Below are 25,232 nucleotides of genomic sequence, written 5' to 3'. Positions count from 1 at the left end.
TCTGTGATAACCAACCCACATCATTTATGTGTCTGCCCCCACTCTAAGACATTGGAAGGTCTTGGGGTCAGAGACTCTTGAGATTTACTGTTACATCCTCAAAGCCTAACATACAATAAAATGCAAATTTCCGGCCTGTGGGGTGGCTCACACCTGTAATCCCAGCACTTTGGGAGGCTGAGATGGGGGGATTACTTGAGGTCAGGAGTTTGAGACCAGCCTGGATAACATGGTGAAACCCCATCTCTACTAAAAATACAAAAATTAGCTGGACATGGCAGTGGGCAACTATAATCCCAGCTACTTGGGAGGCTGAGGCAGGAGAATCGCTTGAACCTGGGAGGCAGAGGTTATGGTGAGCCAAGACTGTGCCACTGAGCTCCAGCCTGGATGAAAGAGGGAGACTCCTCTTCAAAAAAAAAAAAAAAAAAAAGTAAATTACCATTAGCAATCGCATAAAAAAATACCAGGCATGGAGGAATTAATGTAACAAGAGATATGTAAAATATCTACGTGGAAACTAAAAACCTCAGCACGATCTTGGGAAACTCAACAAGCTGATTCCAAAATTGATAAGGAAATGCAAAGAACCAAGATCCTCCCGAAAACAAAACAAAACAAAGAAAACCAAGTGGGAAGATGTGCTTTACCACATATCAGCTTCTTAGAGTCACTGGAGCAGTCTGGTGTCAGCACAAGGATAAACAAAGAAACCAGTGGGATAGAATAGAAAGTTCAGAAACAGATCTATTCAGATATGCACACTCAATTTATGACAGAGATGGTGCTGTGGAGCACAGAAAAAACAGGTTTAAAACAAGCATTACAAATAAAAAATATTAAATTTAAACTAAAAATTTACCTTCCTCAAAAGACATCATTTTGAGACTAAAAAGGGAAGCTACATAACAGAACATTTTGCTTGACACATAATTGACAAAGGACTTGCATTCATAATATGCAAAGAATTACAAAAGAAAACAATAAGCAAAGGACAACGTAAGGGAAAACTGGGGAAAAGACTTGAGCAATTCATCAAAAAGGAAATCTAAAAAGGCCCCCAAAATACGAAAAAGTACTCAACCTTATTGGCAATTAGGGAAATGCAAGTTAAAAACCCCACTAGAATGGTTAAAATTAAAAGTCTGACAATACCAATCATAGGCTGGGAGACAGGGCAACAGGACCCAGATTGCTATTAGGCAAGTAAGGTGCTGCAATCACCTTGAAAAACAGTTTGGAGTTACCTAAGAAAGTTGAAGATACGTAGCCCTGTGGCCCAGCAATTCAAGGGAAATATGTACAGGTGGTGACCAGGAAGGCAAGTGCAAAAATGTTGACAGCAGCATGATTCACCATACCTATGGCTCCAAAATGAAACTTTAATGTTCATAAATTCAATGTTCATAAGTACTAGGATGATTAAATCATATTCTATTCATAGGACAATTCTATACTGCAATGAAAATGAAATAACTGTAGCCTCACGAGAACGTAATTGAATCTCACAATGTTAAGGAGAAAAAGCTAGTCACAAAAGAATATCTAGGCTGGGCATGGTGGCTCATGCCTGTAATCCCAGCACTTTGGGAGGCTGAGGTGGATGGGTCATTTGAGGCCAGGGGTCCAAGGCCACCAAAATGGTGAAACCCTGTCTCTACTAAAAATACAAAAACTAGCTGGGCATGGTGGTGCATGCCTGTAATCCCAGCTACTCAGGAAGCTGAGGCAGAAGAATCGTGTGAACCCAGTAGGCAGAGGTTGCAGTGAGCCGAGATTGTGCCACTGCACTCAAGCCTGGGTGACAGAGAGAGGCTCTATCTCAAAAAAGAAAAAAAAAAGGAAAAAAAAATCTAATACTTGATTATTTTATGCAATTTATATAGCATTCAAGAACAGGCAGAACTAGACTACAGTTTTCAGGAATTCATAGTTAGGTGGTCAAAGAAAGAAAAGAAAGTGACTACATTAAAGTCAGGAAAATGATTACCTTTGGGGCTAGTGAGACAGCTGTGAATGAAAGGGCATGTGAGGGTCTTCTGGGATGTGGACAAGCTTATATTTCTGGATAGTGGTTAAATGGTTGTATTTCATAATAGTATGTGGAGCTGTACAATTGTGTTTTTATGTACTTAACATTATTATTATTAGTTACCTCCTTATGTTCATAGCAGCATATTATACTCAGGGATGGGTGACAAGCAAATTATAAGGATTGAATGCCTTGGGACTCTTAACTGTAAATAATCAAAAACACAACCCAAACTGGCTTAAGCCAAAAAAGGTAATCTATTGGGTAATATAAATTAAAGAGTGAGGAGGTCAGCATGCTGGCTTCAGATAAGGCTTAGAGCTCTTACACTGTGACCAGGTCCTGGTTTCTTTTTTGTCTCAGGTTCTCTTTCTTCTGTTGGCTAAATCTTCAGTTGGTTCTTTCCTTTTGTATCCCAGATAGCTGCCAGTAAATTCCTGGGATTACAGGTTTCCTTTTTTAGGTCTAGCAGAAAAGAGAAACTTTGCTCTTCCCATAGCTCAGTCAAAACCTCTGATGTTTAGTCCTACCTCTGATTGGCCCAATGTGGCTCACGGGTCCTTCCCTGGACTAAGCACTAAGGGAGAAAGGATAAACTGGTGGAGCCCATTCCTGGTCAATGGCCAACAGACCACCTGTTTATTCAAGGTTCAAGTTGGTATTAGAAAGAAGAAGAGGAGAAGAATAGCGAGGAGGTAGCTAACAAATGTCTATGACAATCAATGTCCATTTTATTTAGTTGAATATCATCACACATAAACAACAACACACAGTTTTGCACTACTCCCTACCTCAGGCTTAATCAGAACCAAGGCAAAGAAAGTAGCTGGATAGAACAGAGGTGCCAGTTGAGCTAAAATCTGAAAACAACAGCAAAAATATAATTTGTTTCTGCTGATGTTAGTGATTCTAAACAGTCACAGGTGCTCAGATTGATGAAAAGCAAAGCTGGCTTGTCAGATTGGATCTTCTTTAGAGATATTTTGAGGTGAACTGAGAAAAATCTGAGTATTGACTGGGCAGTAGAGGATGTAGAGAACTATACTCCATTTTCTTAGGTGCGGTAACGGTAATTGGTAAAATTTTTAGAAGCAGCAGCTTGGAGTATTCAGGAGTGAAGTGTGTTGATGTCTGTAGCTCTCTAAAATAGCTTAGCAAAAGACACACACACATAGATAAAGCAAACATGCAAAAATTACCAATTGTTGAATCTAGATGGTATGCATATGGGTGATCACTAGAATATTCTTTTAATTCTATATGTTTGAAACTCTTAAAATGTGGGGAAATAAAAAATGTTTTCAGAAAAATCTGAAAATTCCAGACAAACAAAAAAGCTGACTTATTTCTATGCTTTCTCTTCTTATAGTCTCAGGTATTAGTTCCATACCAGGGAGAAAGAAATACATTTATTTTGGTGTTAAAACAATATAAGTTCTATTGCTGTTTTCAGTTATCCACGAAAAGTGTTTATTCAGCACCAGCTATGCGTATGAATCACTTAGTGTTAATATAAAGTTACAATTTCATCTTTATCTCCCTATTAGAGAATAAAAGTTGACAATCAAATACTACAGACAGAAGGAAGGGAACTAGGCCAGGTGCTGTGGCTCATGCCTGTAATCCCAGCACTTTGGGAGGCCGAGGCATGTGGATCACTTGAGCCCAGACCAGCCTGGGCAACATGGCAATATCTTGTCTCAACACAAAAATTAGCTGGTGTGGTGGCGTATGCCTGTAGTCCTAGCTGCTCAGGAGGCTGAGGTGGGAGGACTGCTTGACCCTGTCTCGAGGAAAAAAAAAAAAAAAGAAGGAGGGGGAACTATTGAGGACTTTGTACCAAGAATATTAGCACACATCACTTCATTTATTTTTCACAACAACCCCGCAAAGTAGATATTATCACTATCCCTATTTTACAGACAATAAATGGAGGTGTTCTTAAGTTACGTACACTTGGCACAGGGTCCCATAGCTAGCAGATAGGAAGCATCTGAATAGAAGAGTAAATCTCTCATATACTGCTGGTGGGAATGTAAAATGATGCAGCCACTTTGGAAGACTATCTGGCAGTTCCTCAAAAAGTGAAACCATAGAGTTACTATATGACCCAGTAATTCTACCAAGACAAATGAAAATGTGTCCACACAACAACTTGTACATGAATGTTCATAACAGCACTATTCATAAATGCCAAAAAGTGGAAATAACTCAAGTGTCCATCAACTGATGAATGAATAAGCAAAACACGGTATATCTATCTACACAATGGAATTTTATCTGGCAAGAAAAGAAAATTAAGTACCAATACATGCTACACATGCATGGACCTCAAAAATGTTAAGTAAAGTAAGCCAGACACAAAATGCTACATATTGTATGATTCTCTTTATATGACAAGTCCAGAACATGCAAATCTGACAGAAAGATTAGTGACTGCAGAACAATTAATGATTGCTGAGGGCTGGGACGAGAAGGTAAGCAACTGCTAATGGATATGGGTTTTTTTTTCCCCGGCGGGAGGTTATGATGAAATGTTCTGAAATTGATTGTGGTGATGGTTACACAACTCTGAGGATATACTAAAAACCACTGAGTTGTACACTTTAAAACAGGTGGATTATATGTCAATTAAGCTGTATATATATATATATATATATATATATATATATGAAAAAAAGAGTGAACCGCCCTTTACCGAATAATGTTGCCTAACAAAACTATAGTTTTCCTTATAGAGTTGGCTCTCAAAATCAAACCATGAGGGTAGCCAGGTTGAATGGATTCTATATATTATCTAGACTCTTCTAATTAGGGAGTTGATTATTGAATTGGATATCTTTGAATATCTGGTTGTTTGAATTGGATAAAGAAAACCTCAAAGTGCCCAGAAAACATTAGGAACAAGAAAGTGTGTGAAGAAATGAAGACATGAAAATTCTCCCTCATATTCCCAATGCTGGCTATCCAAGGTTCTTTGGATTTTGGCCCCAACATGTGAAATCCGTTATATCATTTTCTCTAGATTTAGAAGGCAGTGCATAATAAAGTGGCCATCAGTTCCTGCGGATTTGCAACACAAGACTATTTCTATGTGACTATTAGCAATAGTTGGCTCTATCAGGAATTCAGGAACGAGTCTTTTGGAATGGCTAGAACTGGAACATATATGCACTCTTTCAAACTTTGTGCTGACTTCCTCCTCAATGTTGGATGCATTTAGACAGGAAGGAAGATAACCTTTCGAATCCTGAATGGTCTGCCATTGGGCAGTCATAAACATACCACTTCTTTCCTTCTAGCACCCTGGGTAAGTTCCTTTTATGACCAAGCTGTGGCATTTAGACATTTCCTTATGTTTCTTCCAGGTACTTAAGGACAAATTTAGCTCCTGGCTTTTCCTGATTTGGGTGGGTTTGGGTGCCTCTAGAAAGTACTTCCTCTACACTTGATTGAGCTCTTTTATTTGAGCTGCTCTCGATTCACCCGCCCCACCCCCACTTCTTTTTTCTTTTGCGTTGCTTTTTAGTTCTGTTTAATTACCTGCTTCTGGCAATGTGGAGCTTTCCCATAACTGGATTAGCAGCACTATAATAGCAGTAACCCTTTCATTACCAGAGTAATTTTCTTTACTTGTTTTGAACTTCAGCATTTACAGGCAGCTGCTATTAAGTTAAAAGGTAAAAAGACATGTGACTTTTTCCTGCTTTTACAAGTCCAGAATACTTCCAGTGAGGGTTACAGGGCTTTGAAGCCATTTTCTCCACTTTAAAAAAAGGAAAGGTAAGAGCTGAAGTAGGCCTCTCCTCCATTTAAAACACAAATCCAGTTAGAGACCAGCCTGACCAACATGAAGAAACCCCATCTCTACTAAAAATACAAAATTAGCCAGGTGTGGTGGTGCATGCCTGTAATCCCAGCTACTTGGGAGGCTGAGGCAGGAGAATTGCTCGAACCCAGGAGGCGGAGGTTGCGATGAGCCAAGATCACGCCACTGCACTCCAGCCTGGGCAACAAGAGTGGACTCCGTCTCAAAAAACAAACAAACAAACAAACAAAAACCACGCAAATCCAGCAACCATACTTCCTTTTAGAATCACATTTTCAGGATTCTGCCATTTATCCAAGAATAATAAATAAATAAAGTTAGAATTTAGTGTTACGTTCATTTTGACTTCTTTGTAATCTGTTTCTGGCCTTAGGTTTTCTTGACTCAGTCAGATGTAAAGTTGTTAAAACAGGGAGGGGATCAAGATAAGGCCTTGCTATCTTGGTCCATTTCCTATTCCAGTCATTATTCATGTGACCTCTGTAATTTTTTTACTTACCAGGCTAGATTAAGAGACTCATGAACTGCATCACTGGGATGTGACAGGATTTATGACTATGGTGAAGTAGTCTGAGGCACCTGGATGAAAGGTGGTTATAGTGAGTTATGTACACAATTCCCACACATTTTAAACACTTGATTCCTACAGAGCTATCAAACTAATGGAAGGCAAGTTACTCAGAGTTTGGTTGACTGATACCTCCAGGGATTGCATTTTCTAAATACAGAGCTTGCTTTCACAATTTCAGCAGGATACAAGAGTGTTCAGAATTGGGGGTTTACCATTCAAAGGGCAGAGGCCAGAGACTTGAATTTACAAGGAGGGTCCTCAACACAGACATCGAGATTACAGTACATTAATTTCTCTTGCACATGAAGAAGTTGAGGCTTCACAATTTCAGCATGACCCAGTATAGTTGCAACATCTTACCCATCACTGGGTGTGTATCTTCTGTGTACACTGGCCCTTTCAACATCTAAGGCCAGGCTAGGTGCTCATAGCAACTGGCTCCCCAGGAACTAACGAAAGAGAAAGCAAGAAACAGTGGAGGGGTTTTGGTGATGGTGGAAGGCAGGGGAGATAGAAGTGGGGGTTGCAGAAGGTCGTGGTGAGGCAGAGTGGCAGACAAATGGGGAATGAGAAGTCTTGCCAAGCCCAGAAGACTATCGTTGTGTAAACACACAATATGCTTCAGGCTATGTATTCTGGGCAACAGTTCCTGCCCTAAAAGGTGTGGACATTTAAATTAGGGTAGGATTGCGCATTCTGTGATAGAGACTGGCACAGAGACAAAGTGGAACTCCTCTACGTTGGGGAGGGGAAAACATACATTAGCCTGTTTTGAACCTTAGACCAAGACAAGACAAACACACAAACACCATTTAATTTCATACTGCAATAAAATTCTTTGTACCAAACCATGGGATCAAAATTGTTACAGATACTCAGTGAACAGTTCCAATGCATTCATTCATCCAGTCACTTACTCCACAGGGGTTTGAGTGCCTGCACTTGGTGCTGGGCACGGCTGAGCCATCCCAGACGCCAAGGAGTTTACAGTCTAGTCCAGTCAGTGACGAGGTTAAAACGAATTCTCGCATCATTGCTACTGCGAATGCACCGGGACAGGATCAGCCCTTCAAATTCTCCCACGTGGTCCCTGCAGGTGAGTGTGGGTGTGAGCGCTTGCGGCCCGTGGTGTTTGGGAGTGAGAGAGCACGTGTGTCAGAATGGCGCCTGTCACAGTGCGCGTCCAGGTGTCTCTGCAGTACGCCTCTCCATAGCCACCCGAGCCGGGCTGTATGGGCTTGGCTAGGCTTATGTCTCCCGCCCACGCACCGGAGGCGGTGCGGAAAGCACTCCGCGGGCGCGATTGTGAGTGAGCGCGGGCGCGCGCGGGAGGGGCGCGCCGCGCTGGCTGGGCCGCGCGCAGGCGCAGAGTGCGGAAGTCGGGCCGCGGCCGCCGCAGAGCGCCGGGGGCGGGAGGAGCAAACGCAGGAGGCCATGGCCGCCGACGCCGGCGCCGGCTGCTAAGGGGCTCGGCCCGCGAGCGCCTGCTGCCGCGGACGATGGTGACCGTACGGGCCGGGCCGCTGCCGCTGCCGCTGCCTCCGCCTCCCCAGAAGCAACATCCGAGGCTCGGCGCAGAAGAGCCGCCGCTGTGAGCCGTGCCGTACCGGCCCCCGCCGCCGCCCGAGGAGAACGGGAGGGCGGGCGAGAGAGCCGGGGAGTTGCGGAGCCCGCCCGCCGGCAGCGCCGCTCCCCAGGGAGGGAGTCCGCAGCCTGAGGTGACCACGCCGCCCGCCCGGCCCCTTCCCATCCCCGCGCCCCCCGGCCGCTTCCCACGGCCTCCCTCCCCTCCCCCATCGCGTCGCAGGCTCCTTCCTCTTCTCCCTGTTCGCCCCTTTCCTTTTATCTCGCTTCACCTCCCTCTTCTCCCTAGCATTGGAGGAGTCCACATCCCCTCTTCAGCCGCAGCACCCCTCCCTCCCATCCTCTAGCTCTTCCCGCGGTGGTCGCCTCCCTCCGACCCTGCTCTCCCCTCCTGGGCCCCGCGCAAAGCCCCCTCTGTTCCAGCTCCCGGGCCTCGGCTGCCTCCCCGCCCTCCCATCCCTTCCTCTTCCCAGGGCCTGGAGCGCTCCCTTACATTCCTGAGATGCCCTTCCTCGGGGCTGTCCCCCTTTGCCTCCCCAGCATCCCATTTCTAGGCCTTTTTCAAGACCCTTCCAGAGCGGCCCCTTTCCAGCTCCCTTTCTCGTTTCCATTTCCAACTTTGCCTCTTTTGCCTCTTTGTTCACTTTGCTTCCAAGCTCCCCTCCCTCTTTCCCTTCGTCTTACCCTGCTTTGATCTACGCAGCCCCAAACTCAAGCTCCCCGCTTTCAGGTGGTGCGAGGTTGTTTGGGGGTGCGGAAGGGCCTGCCAGTCCATTTTTCGAGGGGGGCCCATTGCTCTGCATCCCGTCCGTCAGTCCCTTTTATAGTAAGAGGGCTCCTCATCCCTTCCTTTTTGTCCCCGTGGTTTCCTCTGTCTTGCCATCCCTTCTGTCTTCTCCCTCCAATACTGCTTTCCCCACCCAAGGACCCTCAGACCCGTGAACCCCCTTTCTGGAATGAGTTCCCTTTCTGTTCGGGGATGCTGAACTTCGCCCGCGTTTTTCTTCGCGAGCCTTTTGGTACGTGGCGTGGCGCGACAGAGTCAGCACCCTTGGCGAGATAGGAGGGGAGCTCTCGAGCCTCTTTCCTGGAAGAGTTTTTGCTGAACGTAATCTCTTAGCCCCGCGGCGGCGGCGGCCCGGTTGCTGCTGCTACTGCTGCTGCGCTGCCTGCTTGCCGCGAGCTGGGTTGGGGTTACTGTAGTTCAAACGCATCTGAGATCTGCAGGCGTTGTGGGAGGAGGTGCGGGGAGAGAGGAAGGGGCCTGTGCAGTGAGCAGGCATCAAAGATTAGTGGATGGCCTTGCGTCGCAGTCTGCAGTAAAGAGGAAACTAGTCTGAAAGGGAAGGAGAGGACTGTGTGTCTTTTTATTTTTTAAAATACGGAGTGTGCAGTTTTACTGAATCTTGAATCATGCCCAAAAGAATGAGCTGTCGGTGCTGCAGTCGTGACCCAGGCTGAGCGGCCGATGGCAGAGGTAGCAGTTTTATTTCCTCTCTCTGTTCCTTAAGTTGAAAGATGGCCTTTGTATTCAGAGTAGACTCCCTGTCTTTGCGGTTTGGGAGATGATGAGAAACCACAGAATTGCTAGTAGTTTATGTGGAGATCAGGTACATACAAAGTTAGCTAGCAAGGAGTGGGAGTGGGGAGGACCAGCTATATTTAAAACATGTGCCATTGCTTATGTAAGAAATGCGTTCTCTTTCCTGGTATCTCAGTTCTGGGCTTTTACTTAGAATTTTAGGCTCTAGCTTTGTGCTCTTAACATTTTCAGTGAGGCCTACCATCCTAACCGATGGACAGCCCGAAAATTTACTTTTCTTAAGATCAGTTTTAGTTGATGGTAGAATTTTTTTTTTTAACTGGTTGGGAGAAAGAAAGGAGATAATGGTGAATGATGATTTTTGTTTTTCTTTTTTAGGGGGAAGGTGTAGAAGTATTGTACTGAATAGTTTTAAGTTGGGTCACGTGTCATTCTTGTTTTTTCTTTGTCTTTTTAAAAAAAAGTTTAGGAGGTGTATTTTTGAAGAACTCAAATAAGAGAAATAAAAAATCACATTTTTCATTTCTCTTATTTGACATAGTTCTTCAGAGATTAGCTGTGACTGTAAAAACCTACATTTTTCTTATTCAGGACGATTTGTTTGGTTTCTTCATATTCAAAACTAAAATCCCGTATTTTCAGGAAAGTGTAGAATGAAGCCCCCTGTGTTTTCTAACCCACAAATTTGAATGGTAAACTGTACAGCATTATACTTCTACAAGACATTACTGTTTTCATAATTACGGATTGCTGCTTCTAAGCCTGAGAAGGTCATTTAATGAACTCATTGAGGTCTCCTTTTTGGTTAGCATTTGTTGCACCTCTTGTGGTTTTTGGAAAGAAATGCCTTTTTTTTTTTTGGTTTGTTTTTAGCTGTTTTACTGTGTAAAACATCTTTGAGTCACATTTAGTTTATGTTACCTGCAGACACATCATGTTGGATATTACTTTCCCAGTTCTTTTCAAAGTTCAAGGAGGACATTTTAAAATCTTGCATGGAAGATAAAACAGTATAGGAAGTTTATGTATTTGGCTTTGGGTGTGTTAAACCTTTCGGTTTTTTCTGCTTTCAGCTCTCCTGCTTATTTTCTAGGATTATTTGGTATTATTTTGTTTTCAAGAGAATATTGAGCTCCCCTGTACTTTAGGATATGCTGATTAGCCCTGTTTGACAATAAATCTGGAACAGGATAAATTAGGCAACATTATAAAGGTATTCTCTAGATCAGGAGAGAAGGCTCCATTTTACTTCGTGTTTGTATGATATAGTGATTTGGCAGGTGTGAGTAATTGCAAGTACTTGCAAAGAAGATGAATATTTTAAAGTTTTGTTTTGATGTTGGTTTAGTGTGTGGTGCTAAAGTGTAGTGTAAAGTACCTATTTGTATTGATAACTATCATGTGCTCTTTTACTTTAGAAGGGTTCAAAGTGATAAGGTTTTGAAATTTTTTTCTCTTTGATTTTCCATGTATTAAATTTGTTTCGTCAGTGCCTTTATACATGACCAGCTTGCCACTGACTTGCTAAAATAACATTCACGTATAGAAATAAATGCAACATTTAGTTTCGTTTATTTGGGCGTATTTAATTCTATCCAAAGTCCTTGTTAAAAACATTTCAGTCTCGAGTTGACTATGTAGTAGAGGGGGATCTTGGATATTGTTTTTTATTGACAGCTTTCGGGACCCGGTATTTTCTCTTTATAGAAATAGAAATGTGTCCTGTTTTCTGTTTCTTATTATATTTGTTAGGCAGGAGTGGTGGGTGGAAATAAAGAGGGAACATGTACCATTCTGCTAATGGACTTTTGTAATAGAGATGATCCTCTGTACGGATTAGGGAGTTTTTCTTCCCTAGCAGATCTTGATTTCTAAAGCAGGATTAGTTATTTGTTTAGTTTAAATTTTCTTCTTTACCCGTTTAGGAGCCACAGTAAATGGTGAAAATGGGCACATTTTAAAATAGCAAAGCATTGAAAAAAGAGAAAGGTTCCAAATCAAATGAAATAAATATGGGCTACAAGTGTTAAATCAGTAATAGCTCCTCCCTCTCTTGTTACTTATAAAAACAGAGTAATGATTTATATTGGATTCCAGAATATAGAAAAATAGTTACTTTTCGATGGCAGTATAAAGACTGTCAGTAATACTGTCATCTCAGTACGTGGTGATTTTCAAATATGGTGGCTGGTGGTTTGTGAGAAGATCTATTCAATATTACTTTGAAATAAATTCCCAAGAGGGTATTGGGTTATCAGTTTGCTCACCAAAGTAAGTCTTTCCACTGTAATTCCTGAAGTTATCTAGATGGCTTATACACATTAAAATGCATTAAACTCTTTACCAACAATTTCTGTGAATGTTTTGGTGTATTTTTTCCTGGGATTAGAAAAAATAATAATATCATGGGCTTTGAGAAATTTAGATTCCTCAGTGGTTGGTTTGCAATAAATATTAAAGGTTAGAGATTTTATTTTTCAGTGCATTTTTCCTTCTTAGGACATGATATTTAGTTCTGATTTTCACAATAATATTTTTTCTTATGTAGGAAAATTATGAAAATGATCTTGTTCATGTGAAATAATCAGAATTGCAGTACTTATCTATAAAAATGTTAAATCTATATTATTGGCAGGCTATATATATAAAACATTTGGGTTATGGGAATGGTTGATATATGATTATTGAAAAGCTTTTATTGATAGTGTGCCAAGTTGGGTTGCCTTTAGCTTTTTGACTATCTGAACTAGGAAGCTATGAAAATTGGAGGGTAAGATGGAAATACTGACAAATATTTAACCATAGCATAGCAATCTGTCACTATAATTTTCTGCAGAAATAAATGTTTTCGTTTGTCCTGTAATGTCTGAAATTACTGCTAAAGCTGGAAATGTGTTTAGCTTTCTCAGCAAAATTCTTAAAAGGATATTGTCAGAGCCAACAATCCAGAATTATCTTTACTCTTTAAATTGTTCTTTACCCACTTTTGTTTGCTTTTTTTTTTTTTTTTTTTTTTTTGAGACGGAGTCTAGCTCAGTTGCCTAGGCTGGAGTGCAGTATTGTGATCTCTGCTCACTGCAACCTCTGCATCCCAGGTTCAAGCAATTCTTCTGCCCTAGCCTCCTGAGTAGCTGGGACTACAGGTGTGCACCACCATGCCCGGCTAATTTTTGTATTTTTAGTACAGACGGAGTTTCACCATATTGGCTAGGCTGGTCTCGAACTCGTGACCTCATGATCTGCCTGCTTCGGCTTCCCAAAGTGCTGGGATTACAGGCGTGTGCCACTGCGCCCGGCCTTGTTTGCCCTATTTTATATTTTTTTGGATTAATTTGAAGTTCTACCATATAAAGCAGTATGGCATTGAATTGTCCCTTTAAATAGTAAATTGTCCTGATAACTGCCTTTCATTTCCTCCTCCCCCTGCCCCCCCCCACTACTTATCATGGTCTGTGCAGAGACAGGGGCTGCAGACTCAATGCCTGGCGTCTTCCATGTGCCTGCTTATCTGTGTATCAAGGGAAGAATTTGATGAACACTTGAAGGCAGATTATGGGAATTTTAGACCATATTTAACTTTAAAGATTCAAGGAAATGATATTGTAAATAATGTTCCCTCTACCTGTATCTACATCATGAGTTCTCTGGATTGTAAATTTAGCACTTCAATTTTGATTGTAAGTGAATAAGGAAAAGCATAGAGTACAAGATGCTGCAAACTAAACGTGCAGTTATCAAGTTTTTATTGAATTGCTTAGGCTTTTTCATAGAGTAAATATTCAAAATTCACCCTCTTATGAGCTACATAAATCATAGTTTTATTGGAGTGAGTGAATTTTTCAAGTTAATTTTATACAAGTTACAGTAGTCTTACAGAGTGTTTTGTTCCTAGATTTGGAGTTAGTGGCCTTTTAAAAAATTAGTTTTGAGGCCAGAACATTTAATCAGAATTATAAGATTGGACAGAACTGAATGGGTCAATGTGAAAACACAATACAGAGGTTATTTTATGAATATCTAAAAATAGTAGTTGTGGCTGAGAAGTAGTATACGTTCTCACATAGTTTTGTACAGTGTGTGACAACCTATTAGATTCGTGAAAGGGTATCTAAAAGCGATTTGTGTTGACTTTTTATTTTTATATATTGTGTCTTCTGAATTTTAGGTCTTCTCCAAGAAAAAAAAAAAGAAAAAAAAAAACAACATGGCTGCAAAGGAGAAACTGGAGGCAGTGTTAAATGTGGCCCTGAGGGTGCCAAGCATCATGCTGTTGGATGTCCTGTACAGATGGGATGTCAGCTCCTTTTTCCAGCAGATCCAAAGAAGTAGCCTTAGTAATAACCCTCTTTTCCAGTATAAGTATTTGGCTCTTAATATGCATTATGTAGGTGAGTGTCTACATCACATTTTCTAATCTTCTAGTGAGCATTCTGATTTATGTCTTAGTATCTTTTTGAATTTGGGTAAAATGAAGTTCATTTTCATTAAGATGATAGTGATATAGTTATTGATGAGTGTTTATGAATCTTGATAGTTTTGTCTTATCATTGCACATGAATTATTAAGGCTACAAGAAAGTAAGCAGTATTGGATTTATTTTACTGGATAAAACTGGAAGGCAGAAGAAAACATTCTAGATTTTAATATGATGAAATATAAACAATGAGAAATACTTTTAGAGACATTTGGCCCCTTCTAATTTGTCCTTGTTTTGGGGTTTGGTAGTAATTCAGAAAGTAAGCTTTTTAAAATGCAACATTCTTTATTGTTCCCTGAGATAAACGAAAACATTAACATCAGCTGAAGATAAAGTGTTCAGTTAAATGAAATTTGGGAAATGATACTATAATACTTTGTTCCATAAAAAAAATCCTCCTGGAACTATAATTTTTTTTTTTTTTGCTTGAATCCCCTTTCAAGAAAAATGGAACTATCATTGATATGCTATGGGGTTAGTGGTAAAAATAATGATAAGAGATTGAAGAAATTAAAGTCAAGAAATACAAGCATGAAACAGATAAAATTTACCTAGAATAAAAATCATGATCCTTACTTTTTAGGTTTTGGTTTATTTGTAATGTATATAGCAATATATTTTATTAATGTTGTGATTGCAGAGTTCCAGACATGGTTTGAATGGTACTATAGTGGTTTTGCTAATATTTTATTATTAGAGTTGCCTGTCACAAAATATATCTTTTATAAAGTCATGAAGAGTTGTCCTGTCTCTCTGAGATTTATTTTTATCACTTTCTGGGTTCTAAAACTTAGCCCTGAGAACGTTCCCCTTACATCCCTAAGAGGTAAGCTGTTGTGGAAAGAAGTATGATGTAGTAGAAGAGATGGTGCACTAGAAACAAAACGTTTCGGTTCAGTAAACTCATCTTTTGTGGATAGCACTACCTTGGGAATGTCTCTGAAATGGGAAAGTTCCTTTATGTTGCAAAACACTGTAATTCTCAGCCTTTTATGAAAGGCTTTGTATGTTAGCCAATTTATGGAAAGTAATTCCCGTCAGTTGTAGAACAACTGGGTACTTGGCTTAGATTTTTAGATTAATCAGCAAAGTCATACATACTGTGGTTTTAAAAATGTGCTTATATATTGTTTCTGAATAGGTTGAAATATTTATTATAAAAACAGCTGCCTGATAACCAGGAATATTAATTTTAGAAATTGAATGTTTTCGAGTACAATTGAAGTTCATAATCTGGTTTATAATTTTATAAAGTTAGTTGAGCCATCTTAAATATGCTTACTCCATGCCAAAGTAGAGTAAGCTCAGTGGTTGCATGAACAGATATTTTCAGCTTGAACAATGTTTTGGTTGGAGTTACCTTTGTCAAAATATTACATAGTGTTTATGTAATGCTCCTGTTTACAGAATTTCACCCTCAAATACAAATCAAATTTCACCTTAATAAAATAATGTATCTACATTCAGAAATAAAAAAGCATAAAAAGTATTTAATGAAAAGTATCTCCCTCCCATCTCTGTTACTCATTCGCTGAGTTCTCACTCTGAACACCATGTAGCTTTTATTTCTTTCTGTATAATTCTAGAGATATTTTTATGTATATATAAGTAAATATAAAAAATGTATATTTCCCCCCTTTTTATACAGATGTTAGCATGGTATACATGGTTTTGAATCATGGTTTTTGTTTGTGATGTATGTGGAGCCATAACTACTGCTTTTAGATATTTATGAAATAGAGTTTTGTGCTCTTTTTCTTATGATGACAGTCTGCCGGATCTTAAAGACTCTCTTGAGTAGATATCGAGGCCTCATTTCTCCTCTTCCCGATTGCATTTTACGTTGGCATAGTATCTTCGTATGGATATACCATAATTTATTGAACTAATTACTCCATTGGTGGACATTTTAGATAGCCTACCTTCTGCTATTTTGTACAGCGTTGTGCTAAATAACTTTGTATAGCTATAATTTCAACAAGTACAAATATAACCTGGGGCTAAGTTACTAGAAGCGAAGTTGCTGGGTTAAAGAGTACAGTGGTCCGTCGGTGTATGCTGGAAGTTGGTTCCAGGATGCCCACGTATACCAAAATCTGCGCATACTCAGGTCCCTCAAGTGACCCTGTGGAACTATGTATGCAGAAGGTTGGCCCTCTGTATACGTGGGTTTTGCATGTTGCAAATACTGTATTCCATAAGAGTTTGGTTGTAAAAAATCTACATGTAAGTGGACCCTCACAGTTCCATCCTATGTTGTTCAAGGGTTAACTTATATATATTTGTAGTGTTGACAGATAGTACTTTCCATAGGGTTTTACTATTTTGTACCTCCAAAAACCGTGGTTGAGAGTTCCTACAATCCTATATTATCAAAACAGCCTGTTACCACAAATATTTTGGCTACTCCAATAGGTGGAAAAATTGATTTTTTTAACTCAATGTAGTTTTAGTTTGCATTTCTATTATGAATGAATTGAACATACACATACTTAAGAAAAACCTGTATTTTCTCTTCTGAGAGTTGTCAGTTTATATACCCTGCCCACTTTTCTGTGAGATTCTTTTTTTACCAATTTGTGGGAATTTGGTATACATTAGGGAAATTAATCCTTTGTGATAAGTTGAAAATAGTTTTTCCAGTTTCAACTCAGTGATTTTGCTTATGATTTTTTGACATTTAGAAGGTTTTTAAGCTTTAGTATTTTGAGTCAATTAGAAAAGCCTTCTTTATTCTTGAGTTTATAAAGAATTCTGTTGTATTTTATCTTACTATTTTTGTGGGTTTATTTTTACATTTAAATCTTTGCTTCATTTATCTGTATGAATAGTGTGTTATAGGTATAATTTTATTTTTTCTAGATAACCACACAGTCATCCTCACCTATTTAGTCCATTTTTTTCTCATTATATACTGAATTCTCACATATATTTTGTTTCATTTTTGAACTTCTCTTCCTTTAGTCTGTCTGCCTGTTTGTGAACTATTAACACGCTGTCTTATTTGTTGAGGGTTTAGATTATATTTTACTGTCTAACAGGGTTAGTCCCTTCAGTTTTCTTTATTTCCTCCTCTGAGCTTTTTTTTTATGGTTAGTTTTCTATGTGAATTTAAGAATTGTCTCAAAATTGTCTAGGTCTCATTCCAAAAACAAAGCAACCCATTTGATTTTTTTTAAAATTTAGATTGCATTATTACTAATTTTGGGGGCAGGTGGGGAGGATGGGTTCTTGCTGTGTTGCCCAGGCTGGCCTGGAACTCCTGGGCTCAAGTGATCCTCCTGCCGCAGCCTCCTGACATTTATTGTTTCTAGGTATTTTATCTTTTTTATTGCTATCGTAAGTGGGAGTTTTTCCCCCTTTATGTCTTCTAATTGTAATTAAGGAGCTTAAAAATTAAGGGAGGGAGCAATAAAGTTTGTATTTAATGGAATGTAATTGTGTCTTCAAACTTAGAAGCTTTCCAGGGTGGGTTCTGCTGAAAGAGAAGTGACTGCCCACTGTTTTTTGGAGTGTAGGATATGAAAGGAGGAGTAGAAGTAATATTGGTAAGGTAGAATAGGGCTTTTGTGAAGAATCCTGAATACATACAGTAGATATGGTGCTTAATTCTATAGGTCGTGGTGGGTCAGTGGGGATTTTAGAGCAGGTGAGCTGCATTTTAAGATTGATTAGGCAGCGTTTTATAGGATGATGGATTGGGGAGGGGAGAAACTGGAGGTAAGAAGACCAGTTAGGATTTTAGGCAAGAGGTAATGAGAGCCAGAACTGGCAAGGTAGAAATTAGAAAGGAAGAAATGGATGCGAAAATCCTTTTGAAACTACCATCACTAAAATCATTAGTGACTTAAAATGTAAAATTCAACCCTCATTTATGTCCTAATTCTACAGACTTTTCTATGTTTATGGAGCTGTTTACCACTTCCTCTTTCTTGAAAGTGTTTTTTTTTTTTTTCCTGATTTTTCTCCTAACTCCCTGACCATTGCTTCTGATTCTTTTGATTTGTTTTCTTTAGACTTCTCAAGTGTTGATATTGCCCACAATTTGTGTTTAATTTTAATCTTTTGTTGTTTGGGTGACCGAACGTAGTTTGGGCTGCAGATCTCTGTCTCCACTTTACATTGCTTTTTGACCACTGTAGTCTGGAGTTGATGTTCTTCCTCTGTGATTCCATGGAACCAGTTCACATCTCTACCATAGCAATTATTATGTTGCATTCTAAGGGTCCATATGCTTATCTATTTTCCCAACTGTTAATAGATTGTGAGCTCCTTTAAGGTAAGAAGGGGGTTGTTTATTATCTCAGTATTCCCAGCACCTAGCTGGTGCCCAATAATGAATGAATTTTATATATATGTATGTATGTACGTGACAGGGTCTCACTCTTGCGCAGGTTGGAGTGCAGTGGTGTGATCATGGCTCACTGCAGTCTCAGACTCCTGGGCTCAAGTAACCCTTAGCTGCTGGAGTAGCTGGTACTACAGGCATATACCAAGGTCTTGTTTTGTTACCCAGACTGGTCTCAAACTCCTGGCCTAAAGTGATCCTCCTGCCTCAGCCTCCAAGAGTGCTAGGATTACAGATATTAGCCACTGTGCCCAGCCCTGAATGAATGCATTTTGAATTACTTCTTAGACATTTCCACCTAAATAGCCTATGGACATTTCAATTTGTTGTCAATCACTGAACTCATCACCTTTTTCTCACCTCAGAAGTCTTTCTCCTGCTGTGTTTCCTGTCTTAATAGCAAAGCTGTCTTCTTGATTACCCAAGCTAGAAACATCAGATCTTCACTTCCTTGTTCTCAACTAGTCACCCACAGATAACCACTAAGACCTATTTAAATATGTATCTCATGGCTGACTGGCAGCTCCATACCCAAAGCTACTGTTACAATCCAGGCTCTCATCTTACCTCTGGTCCTGCTGTTTACCCTACAACTACCATAATGTTTAAATAGCAGAAATTATTAGATTCATCAGTGTTGTTTTAAGCAGGTCATCATTTTGATTTATTTTTTATTTTTTCTGTTCTCAGAGTCTGTTCCCGTAGGTCATTATTTCTTTTATTTATTTATTTATTTATTTATTTATTTATTTATTTAGAGATAGAGTCTCACTGTCGCCCAGATTGGAGTGCAGTGGTACAATCTTAGCTCACTGCAGCATCAACCTTCTGGGCTCGTGTGATCCTCCCACCTCAGCCTCCTCAGTAGGTGGGACCACAGTTGTGTGCCACCACACCTGGCTAATTTTTTGTATTTTTTTGTAGAGACAGGAATTTGCCGTGTTACCCAGGCTGGTCTCGAACTCCTAAGCTCAAGTGATCTTCTGCTTTGGCCTCCCAAAGTGCTGGGATTACAGATGTGAGCCAACACATCCAACCCTTATTTTTTATAGAGACAGGGTCATGCTCTGTCACCCAGACTGGCAATCATAACCTCACTGTAACCTTGAATTCTTGGGCTCAAGGGATCCTCCCACCCCAGCCTCCCGAGTAGCTGGGATTATAGGTGTGCACTACTACACCTGGCCTAGGTCATCATTTTTAAATGCCACTGGTCTTGCTTTTTAATTACAAATTACTGTGTATAATTTAAAAACTAACAGCTTTGCCATTGTCAACTTAGTTTGTTATGGATTGTTTGGTTAATGCTGTAGAGTGAGTTGTGATGCATGTTTGTGTCAATAGTATTTTTGGCTTGCATTTTTTAAATTGTTAGATTATATATACATCGTAGTTCAGATGGTTCATTCATACTGCTCTCATAGTTAGTATTCATTGTCTCTCAAAGTTTTCTTACACAAATATTTTGTTATCACAGAGTTACTTTTCCACTGGAATATAAAAATGGGGTATAGATGAGCAATGGTGCTTTTGTTGTTTTGGTTTCTGTTCTCTTACCTCACCTAAATAGATATTGAAGAATTTGAGAACCATTAGCTAAGTCTAAATTCTTGATTATTGTATTTAGGCTTTATATTGAGGCTTTAGCTGCTAGTTCTTTCAGCATCATCTCCCAATCTTTCTGTTAACATCAAAGTCTAGTCTAACGTACAGAATTTACTGTCCCCTGAAAATTACACTTTTATGGTTTTCATGCTTGCTGTTCTCTTTTCCTAGAATGTTTCCTTTTCTTCTTAGCCTGGTAAAGAACCATTCACCTTTAGAGATCCAAGTCAAGCTTAATCACTTAACCATAGCCCTTCCAATGTTCATTTATTATAGCATCAATTTTGTCTAATAATTACTTTTGTCCATGCTTATCTTTTCACTAGATTATTATTCACATTAATTTTGGATCTTCCATGTCTAGGAATGCAAGTGGGTCATACTTTACACATAATAATGTTGATTGAATGACTGGATAATTGAAGGAATGGATGAAATGAATATGTTTGATCTAGAAGATTTGGCCGCTGATTTTATATGCGATATATAGGAGAAAGAAAAGACAAGACCGTTCTGGAAAGGAAAATGACAGTTTCGTTAAAAGAGAGTTTAAGGAGAAGTTTCATGTAATAGACATTAGAAAATCCTTCAGCTACAATCAGTGGAAATGCTTAGTAACTATATTACATATCCTTTAAAATACCTCTAAAGTCATTTGAGGTAGGGGTTAACAAAATTGGGGAAATTATTTTAAGAAATAAAGAGCAAATAAAAATACTTATCTCTGGCTTTTGATGGACTGTCCTTGCAGTTAGGATGTGTAGGAAATCCTCAGTTCTGTTTCTTTAGTCCCAAGCATGCTCATGTTTTCTTAGCTTTTGGCATGATTGATTCAGCATGAGAGAGGCAATAGGGGATAAGTAGGAGTACCTGTGCCTTAATAAAGATTTGTAAATTAAGTGGAAGATGGTTATAGAAGAGTAGACTGGGTCCAGATTGTGTAAGACCAAGAATGTCAGGTTCATAACTTTTAGAGCAGGAGAATTGTCAAGTAAAAGTGATGGTGTTAGGAATATTACCCTGGTAATTAAGTATATCAGGGTGTCCAATCTTTTGGCTTCCCTGGACCACATTAGGAAAATAATTGTCTTGGGCCACACATAAAATATGCTAACACTAGTGATAGCTGATGAGCTTAAAATTGCAAAAAAAAAAAAAAAAACTCATAATATTTTAAGAAAGTTTATGAATTTGTGTTGGGCTGTATTCAAAGCCATCCTGGGCCACATGTAGCCCATGGGCCGTGGGTTGGACAAGCTTGAAGTATAGGGTATACAAAAATAGAGACTGAAAGAAGGATGGTAGTATACTGTGCATTGCAGAGCAGATTAGGATATGGGACATAGAGGTTGGAATGGAAGGGTAACACATGAGAGGAATTTATCATGGAAGGCTCAGCAGGACTTGACGATAAGAGAGAAAAGATGACAGGTTTTGAGTCACTGAGTTACTTTGTTGAGGGAGGAGGTGGGGAGCACAGTTTGTACTTGTTGAATATGAGAACATTTAAGTGGAATATATCTCAGGTGTCATGAGATGGGATGTCTACTTAGATTAAGAAATGAGGATATGTTTTTGCCTGTATAATAAGTTATCAGTAACTTTGTTGATAACATTTATAGAAGAGATGCTGATACTTGAAGTTACAAAATATGTTGTTTGCACTAGGTACTTTATATATAGAGAAAAACAGTTGTTTAGGAACCAAATTTCCAGTGTTTATTGGAAAGCGTGAAAAGAAATTAGAGAAGTTAGAGGGTAAGAGGAAATCCATATGAACAGAGCCAAAGAGTAACAACGTTTTGATGGTCGTTGCCTGGATATTGGGGATCAAAAATAAGCAGGATGTCTTAGATGTGATAAGTAGGCAGTCGTTGACTTCCAACTTTCTTTAGAGCAAACAAGTTAGGGGGGTTTGTAAAGGGATTGTAGATGGTAAAGAGAAGAATAGATGCTTAGAAAATAGAGGCATTGGGTATAGATCTTTTCAAACATTTGACAGTGGAATGAGAAAAATAATAGGAAAAAAATCGCAGTGAAAAGAAGTTTATTTTTTTTTTCTCAAGATGGGTAAAAGCCCTGCACATTCTTTGAAACAAAGGTAAGGAGTGATGTCAGGGGGAACGACTGAAAGTATAGGAGATAGAGAGTCTTCAGGGGTTGGAGAAATAAGGTCTTAAATCACATGGAAGGGGCAGCCTTGGAAAGAGACATTAAGACACCCAGTTTTTCCTCTGGGACTAGAAAGAAAGAGAGAATTGGCATAAAACAAGTAAGTTGATATCAAGGAAAGGTAGATGAAGAAAGGAGTTGTGTTACACATTTGTGTGATATATTTGATTATTAGGTAGAGAAATCTACAAAAGAAGTGAAAAACACAATACATTTTCAACAACAAAAAATCCATAGGGGTGTCACTATGCTAAACTTACTTTGGTAAGTATAATAAAAAACCTCAGAAAGTACTGAAACCTATTTGGAAAATTATTTGTCTCAAGCTCTTTCTTTTATTGTAATTAATTGGGAAACTAAATTAAAATTGTATTTTATTTATCTTTCTGGTACAGGTTATATCTTAAGTGTGGTGCTGCTAACATTGCCCAGGCAGCATCTGGTTCAGCTTTATCTATATTTTTTGACTGCTCTGCTCCTCTATGCTGGACATCAAATTTCCAGGTAAGAATATGACCCCATTTTTGAAATGTATGATTGAATTTAAAGTTTTCTTTTGCCAATAAAATACTTTTCATGAACACTGTTAAGTAAAGCTAAGGCTTTGGTAGGTCCAAAACTGGTTTGATACTCATTTTCCAAATCTTACACAGGATTAATAGCTGGTTTATGCTGACATTTTATTTCTGCTTTTAAAAACAAGCTTAACATGAAACAAGCCTTAAGGTTATGTTTATAAAGATATCCTTGAACTGGCTGGGCGTGGTGGCTCACACCTGTAATCCCAGCGCTTTGGGAGGCGGGTGGATCACCTCAGGTCAGGAGTTCGGGACCAGCCTGGCCAACATGGTGAAACCTCGTCTCTACTAAAAATACAAAAATTAGCCGGGCATGGTGGCGGGCGCCTGTAATCCCATCTACTCGGGAGGATATCCTTGAACTTTCCTGTATTGCCTGATAAAAGAATTTCTAAAAGTAGGCTGTAGGAGCATTTTAACAATTATAGACTTCATTACTTTAGGAAATCAATTTATGATGTGTAAGAATCAGCATAAGATGCAGCCATGTGGAGTGAATGATTGATATACATTATCTTGTAAGGTTGATTGTATAGCTAACCTTCTATCTCTTTAGCCATATTGTCTGTGTACCTAAGTCTGCTAGATCTAAATTTTAAGACTTGGGTCTGCCAATGAATATGAGCTTTCTACTTTGCAACAGAATGTTAAAATATAGGTGGACCAAAAGTTACACTATGAAGTAGTGGGTTGGAATATATTTTGGAGGTATAATTTCTTTTGAAACTTAAATTTTATGATTTTTGATAGAAAGGCATTTACCATATTAAAATATATTCCCAATTCTAAGAGGAGTGACCTTGCATATAGTACAAGCCATAATAAGAGTCTGAAACAGATTTTGGGGTAGTTGAAATTTAATCTTAGAAGTAGCATTTTTACATTATTAGAATTACATTGTTGAGTTTTTAAAAACATTAACTTTTTCTGATTATAAAATTATGGTGCTCACTATGGACAATTTTTGGAAAATACAGAAAATGTAAAGGCATTTAATAATCGTTTGAAATTATACCACCCAGAGATAGATGTGTTAATATTCTGGTACTTTATTTCAGTTTTTAAAATACTGTTCAATTCTCACCACTTCTGTGGATATGAAAGGATGAGAATAACTAAAATCACTGGGTTTTTCACCCCTCTTGTTGAAACAGGACCACCAATTCTCTTTAATGTTTTGTCTAATTGTTTCTCAAAGTCCCAGGGTGTTTCCCAGAAGCTTACTCTTCTTGCATTTTCCTCCTTTATTCCTTCCTGGTTGATTTTCTATGCTCAAAATGGTGCCTGGAGGATGGTGTCTTACTCTTTAACTTCTGCCACCATCCTGCCCAGGGTAGGTCCTCTGATGTCAAAGTTGCAAAATCTGGAGCTGGCAGAGTAGTGTTGCATTTCTTGCAATCCTCACAATGTTTAAATCAAGCTGTGTTCCCTTCAAGAATGGAGACAGTGACATTCCCCGTTTTGCATGACAGAAGTATGTCACTGTGTCTTAGACTCCTTCATGAAAACAACTTAGACCTTGTCCTGTAGCATCCCTCTCCATAGAGCCAAACTAGGAGTCCAAGCACCAATACTGATACAGACATGATGCGTTTCTCATCCTAGTACCACCAGCCCCCACACCTCTGTTCCTGTGGCCTTACCCCGATACCTCTGAGTCTCAGCTCAGGCTGAGGATGGAGACACTTTCCCATCTTTGCTTACTCTTTTGTAAACAAAAATTGTATCTATAGAGTGTAATGCAGTCATTAGGGTATACTGAGCTCTGGAGTAACTGTTCTATTTTATAAATGAGTGCCTGGGCACTTATTTTTCGATAGATGGATGGTTTGGATAGGTTCAAATTCCAGGTTTTTTATTTACTGCTCCATAACCTTGGGTGTCATTTCCCAGAAGGATAAGCCTTAGTTTTTTCACATTAAAGTGGTAATAAAATATCTTAAGGGGCTGTTGTAAGATCAAATAAGATAAGGTATATAAAGCTCTTACCACAGTTTCTGACATAGTGAGTACTTGGTGAATTCTTTTGTCTTGTTTTTATCACATAGCAATGTTTTGTGAGCATTTTCTCATTGTTAATCTTTAAAAAATGATTTTTACATGGTATTTTATGTATAGCCATATAATATCTTTTTAGAATTGATAGGATTTTGTTGATTAATTAAGAAAATATCAAGGTTGAAGGTAGACCTCTTAATATTGTTGCTTTTATTATAGCTACAATTCTGGGTGAAAAACTGTGAGCCTGCCCTTTCTCATGGTTTTTCCATTTCCATTTGCATTTGTGGTGTAGTGATGGCTAAACCCATGTAGTTCTGTTTTTATCTACAGTGCTATGCTCCCTTGGTATCATGAGAGTTTGATTCTAGGACCTCCTGAGGATACCAAAATCTGTGGATGCTCAAATACTGATAGTATTTGCATGCAACTTTTGCACACTCCCTTCCATGTACTTTAATTCATCTCTGGATTATTATAATACCTAATACAATG

At 39.0% G+C, this 25,232-nt stretch overlaps 1 protein-coding gene and 1 long non-coding RNA gene across 8 annotated transcripts in view, besides 8 other annotated features; one reads left to right on the top strand and one right to left on the bottom strand.

Annotated features, from left to right (window-relative positions):
* Positions 1-7,228: 7,228 nt before the first annotated feature.
* Positions 7,229-9,354, bottom strand: LOC107986468 (uncharacterized). Its single transcript, XR_001742943.2, has 2 exons — positions 8,701-9,354; positions 7,229-7,522 (listed from the first exon to the last, which is right to left on the bottom strand). It is a non-coding gene; the product is annotated as an uncharacterized LOC107986468 (long non-coding RNA).
* The window catches only part of RNF145 (ring finger protein 145), a 52,645-nt gene continuing 34,740 nt past the window's right edge, over positions 7,328-25,232 (top strand). The window contains exons 1-3 of one of the 7 annotated variants that reach the window (NM_001199380.2): positions 7,328-7,528; positions 13,725-13,947; positions 22,557-22,665. In NM_001199380.2, the coding sequence (NP_001186309.1) occupies positions 7,478-7,528; positions 13,725-13,947; positions 22,557-22,665 (383 nt within the window). In that variant the 5' untranslated portion in view covers positions 7,328-7,477. Of the gene's footprint in view, positions 7,529-7,827; positions 8,151-8,242; positions 9,036-9,307; positions 9,497-9,554; positions 9,627-9,732; positions 9,907-13,724; positions 13,948-22,556; positions 22,666-25,232 lie in introns of those variants that run through there. The other 6 variants (NM_001199383.2, XM_017009138.3, XM_024454383.2 and 3 more) reach the window with 6 other exon arrangements.
* Positions 7,356-7,455: an enhancer, noted in NCBI's record as "active region_23544". NCBI's record gives its function as "activates an Ori minimal core promoter by ATAC-STARR-seq in GM12878 lymphoblastoid cells {active_cell/tissue: GM12878}" and the evidence as "EXISTENCE:reporter gene assay evidence [ECO:0000049][PMID:35858748]".
* Positions 7,626-7,915: a silencer, noted in NCBI's record as "silent region_16570". NCBI's record gives its function as "represses an Ori minimal core promoter by ATAC-STARR-seq in GM12878 lymphoblastoid cells {active_cell/tissue: GM12878}" and the evidence as "EXISTENCE:reporter gene assay evidence [ECO:0000049][PMID:35858748]".
* Positions 7,956-8,145: a silencer, noted in NCBI's record as "silent region_16569". NCBI's record gives its function as "represses an Ori minimal core promoter by ATAC-STARR-seq in GM12878 lymphoblastoid cells {active_cell/tissue: GM12878}" and the evidence as "EXISTENCE:reporter gene assay evidence [ECO:0000049][PMID:35858748]".
* Positions 9,043-9,162: an enhancer, noted in NCBI's record as "active region_23543". NCBI's record gives its function as "activates an Ori minimal core promoter by ATAC-STARR-seq in GM12878 lymphoblastoid cells {active_cell/tissue: GM12878}" and the evidence as "EXISTENCE:reporter gene assay evidence [ECO:0000049][PMID:35858748]".
* Positions 9,043-9,717: a biological region, named in NCBI's record as "H3K27ac hESC enhancer GRCh37_chr5:158634672-158635327".
* Positions 9,062-9,717: an enhancer, noted in NCBI's record as "H3K27ac hESC enhancer chr5:158634672-158635327 (GRCh37/hg19 assembly coordinates)". NCBI's record gives its function as "activates a minimal SCP1, AML or CMV promoter by ChIP-STARR-seq in primed H9 embryonic stem cells {active_cell/tissue: H9 hESC(primed)}" and the evidence as "EXISTENCE:reporter gene assay evidence [ECO:0000049][PMID:30033119]".
* Positions 9,273-9,322: an enhancer, noted in NCBI's record as "active region_23542". NCBI's record gives its function as "activates an Ori minimal core promoter by ATAC-STARR-seq in GM12878 lymphoblastoid cells {active_cell/tissue: GM12878}" and the evidence as "EXISTENCE:reporter gene assay evidence [ECO:0000049][PMID:35858748]".
* Positions 9,413-9,462: an enhancer, noted in NCBI's record as "active region_23541". NCBI's record gives its function as "activates an Ori minimal core promoter by ATAC-STARR-seq in GM12878 lymphoblastoid cells {active_cell/tissue: GM12878}" and the evidence as "EXISTENCE:reporter gene assay evidence [ECO:0000049][PMID:35858748]".

This window comes from Homo sapiens, chromosome 5 (genome assembly GCF_000001405.40).
Source record: "Homo sapiens chromosome 5, GRCh38.p14 Primary Assembly".
Taxonomy (NCBI): domain Eukaryota; kingdom Metazoa; phylum Chordata; class Mammalia; order Primates; family Hominidae; genus Homo; species Homo sapiens.
Note: the sequence above shows the minus strand (reverse complement) of the source record. Positions and strands in the feature narration are given on the sequence as shown.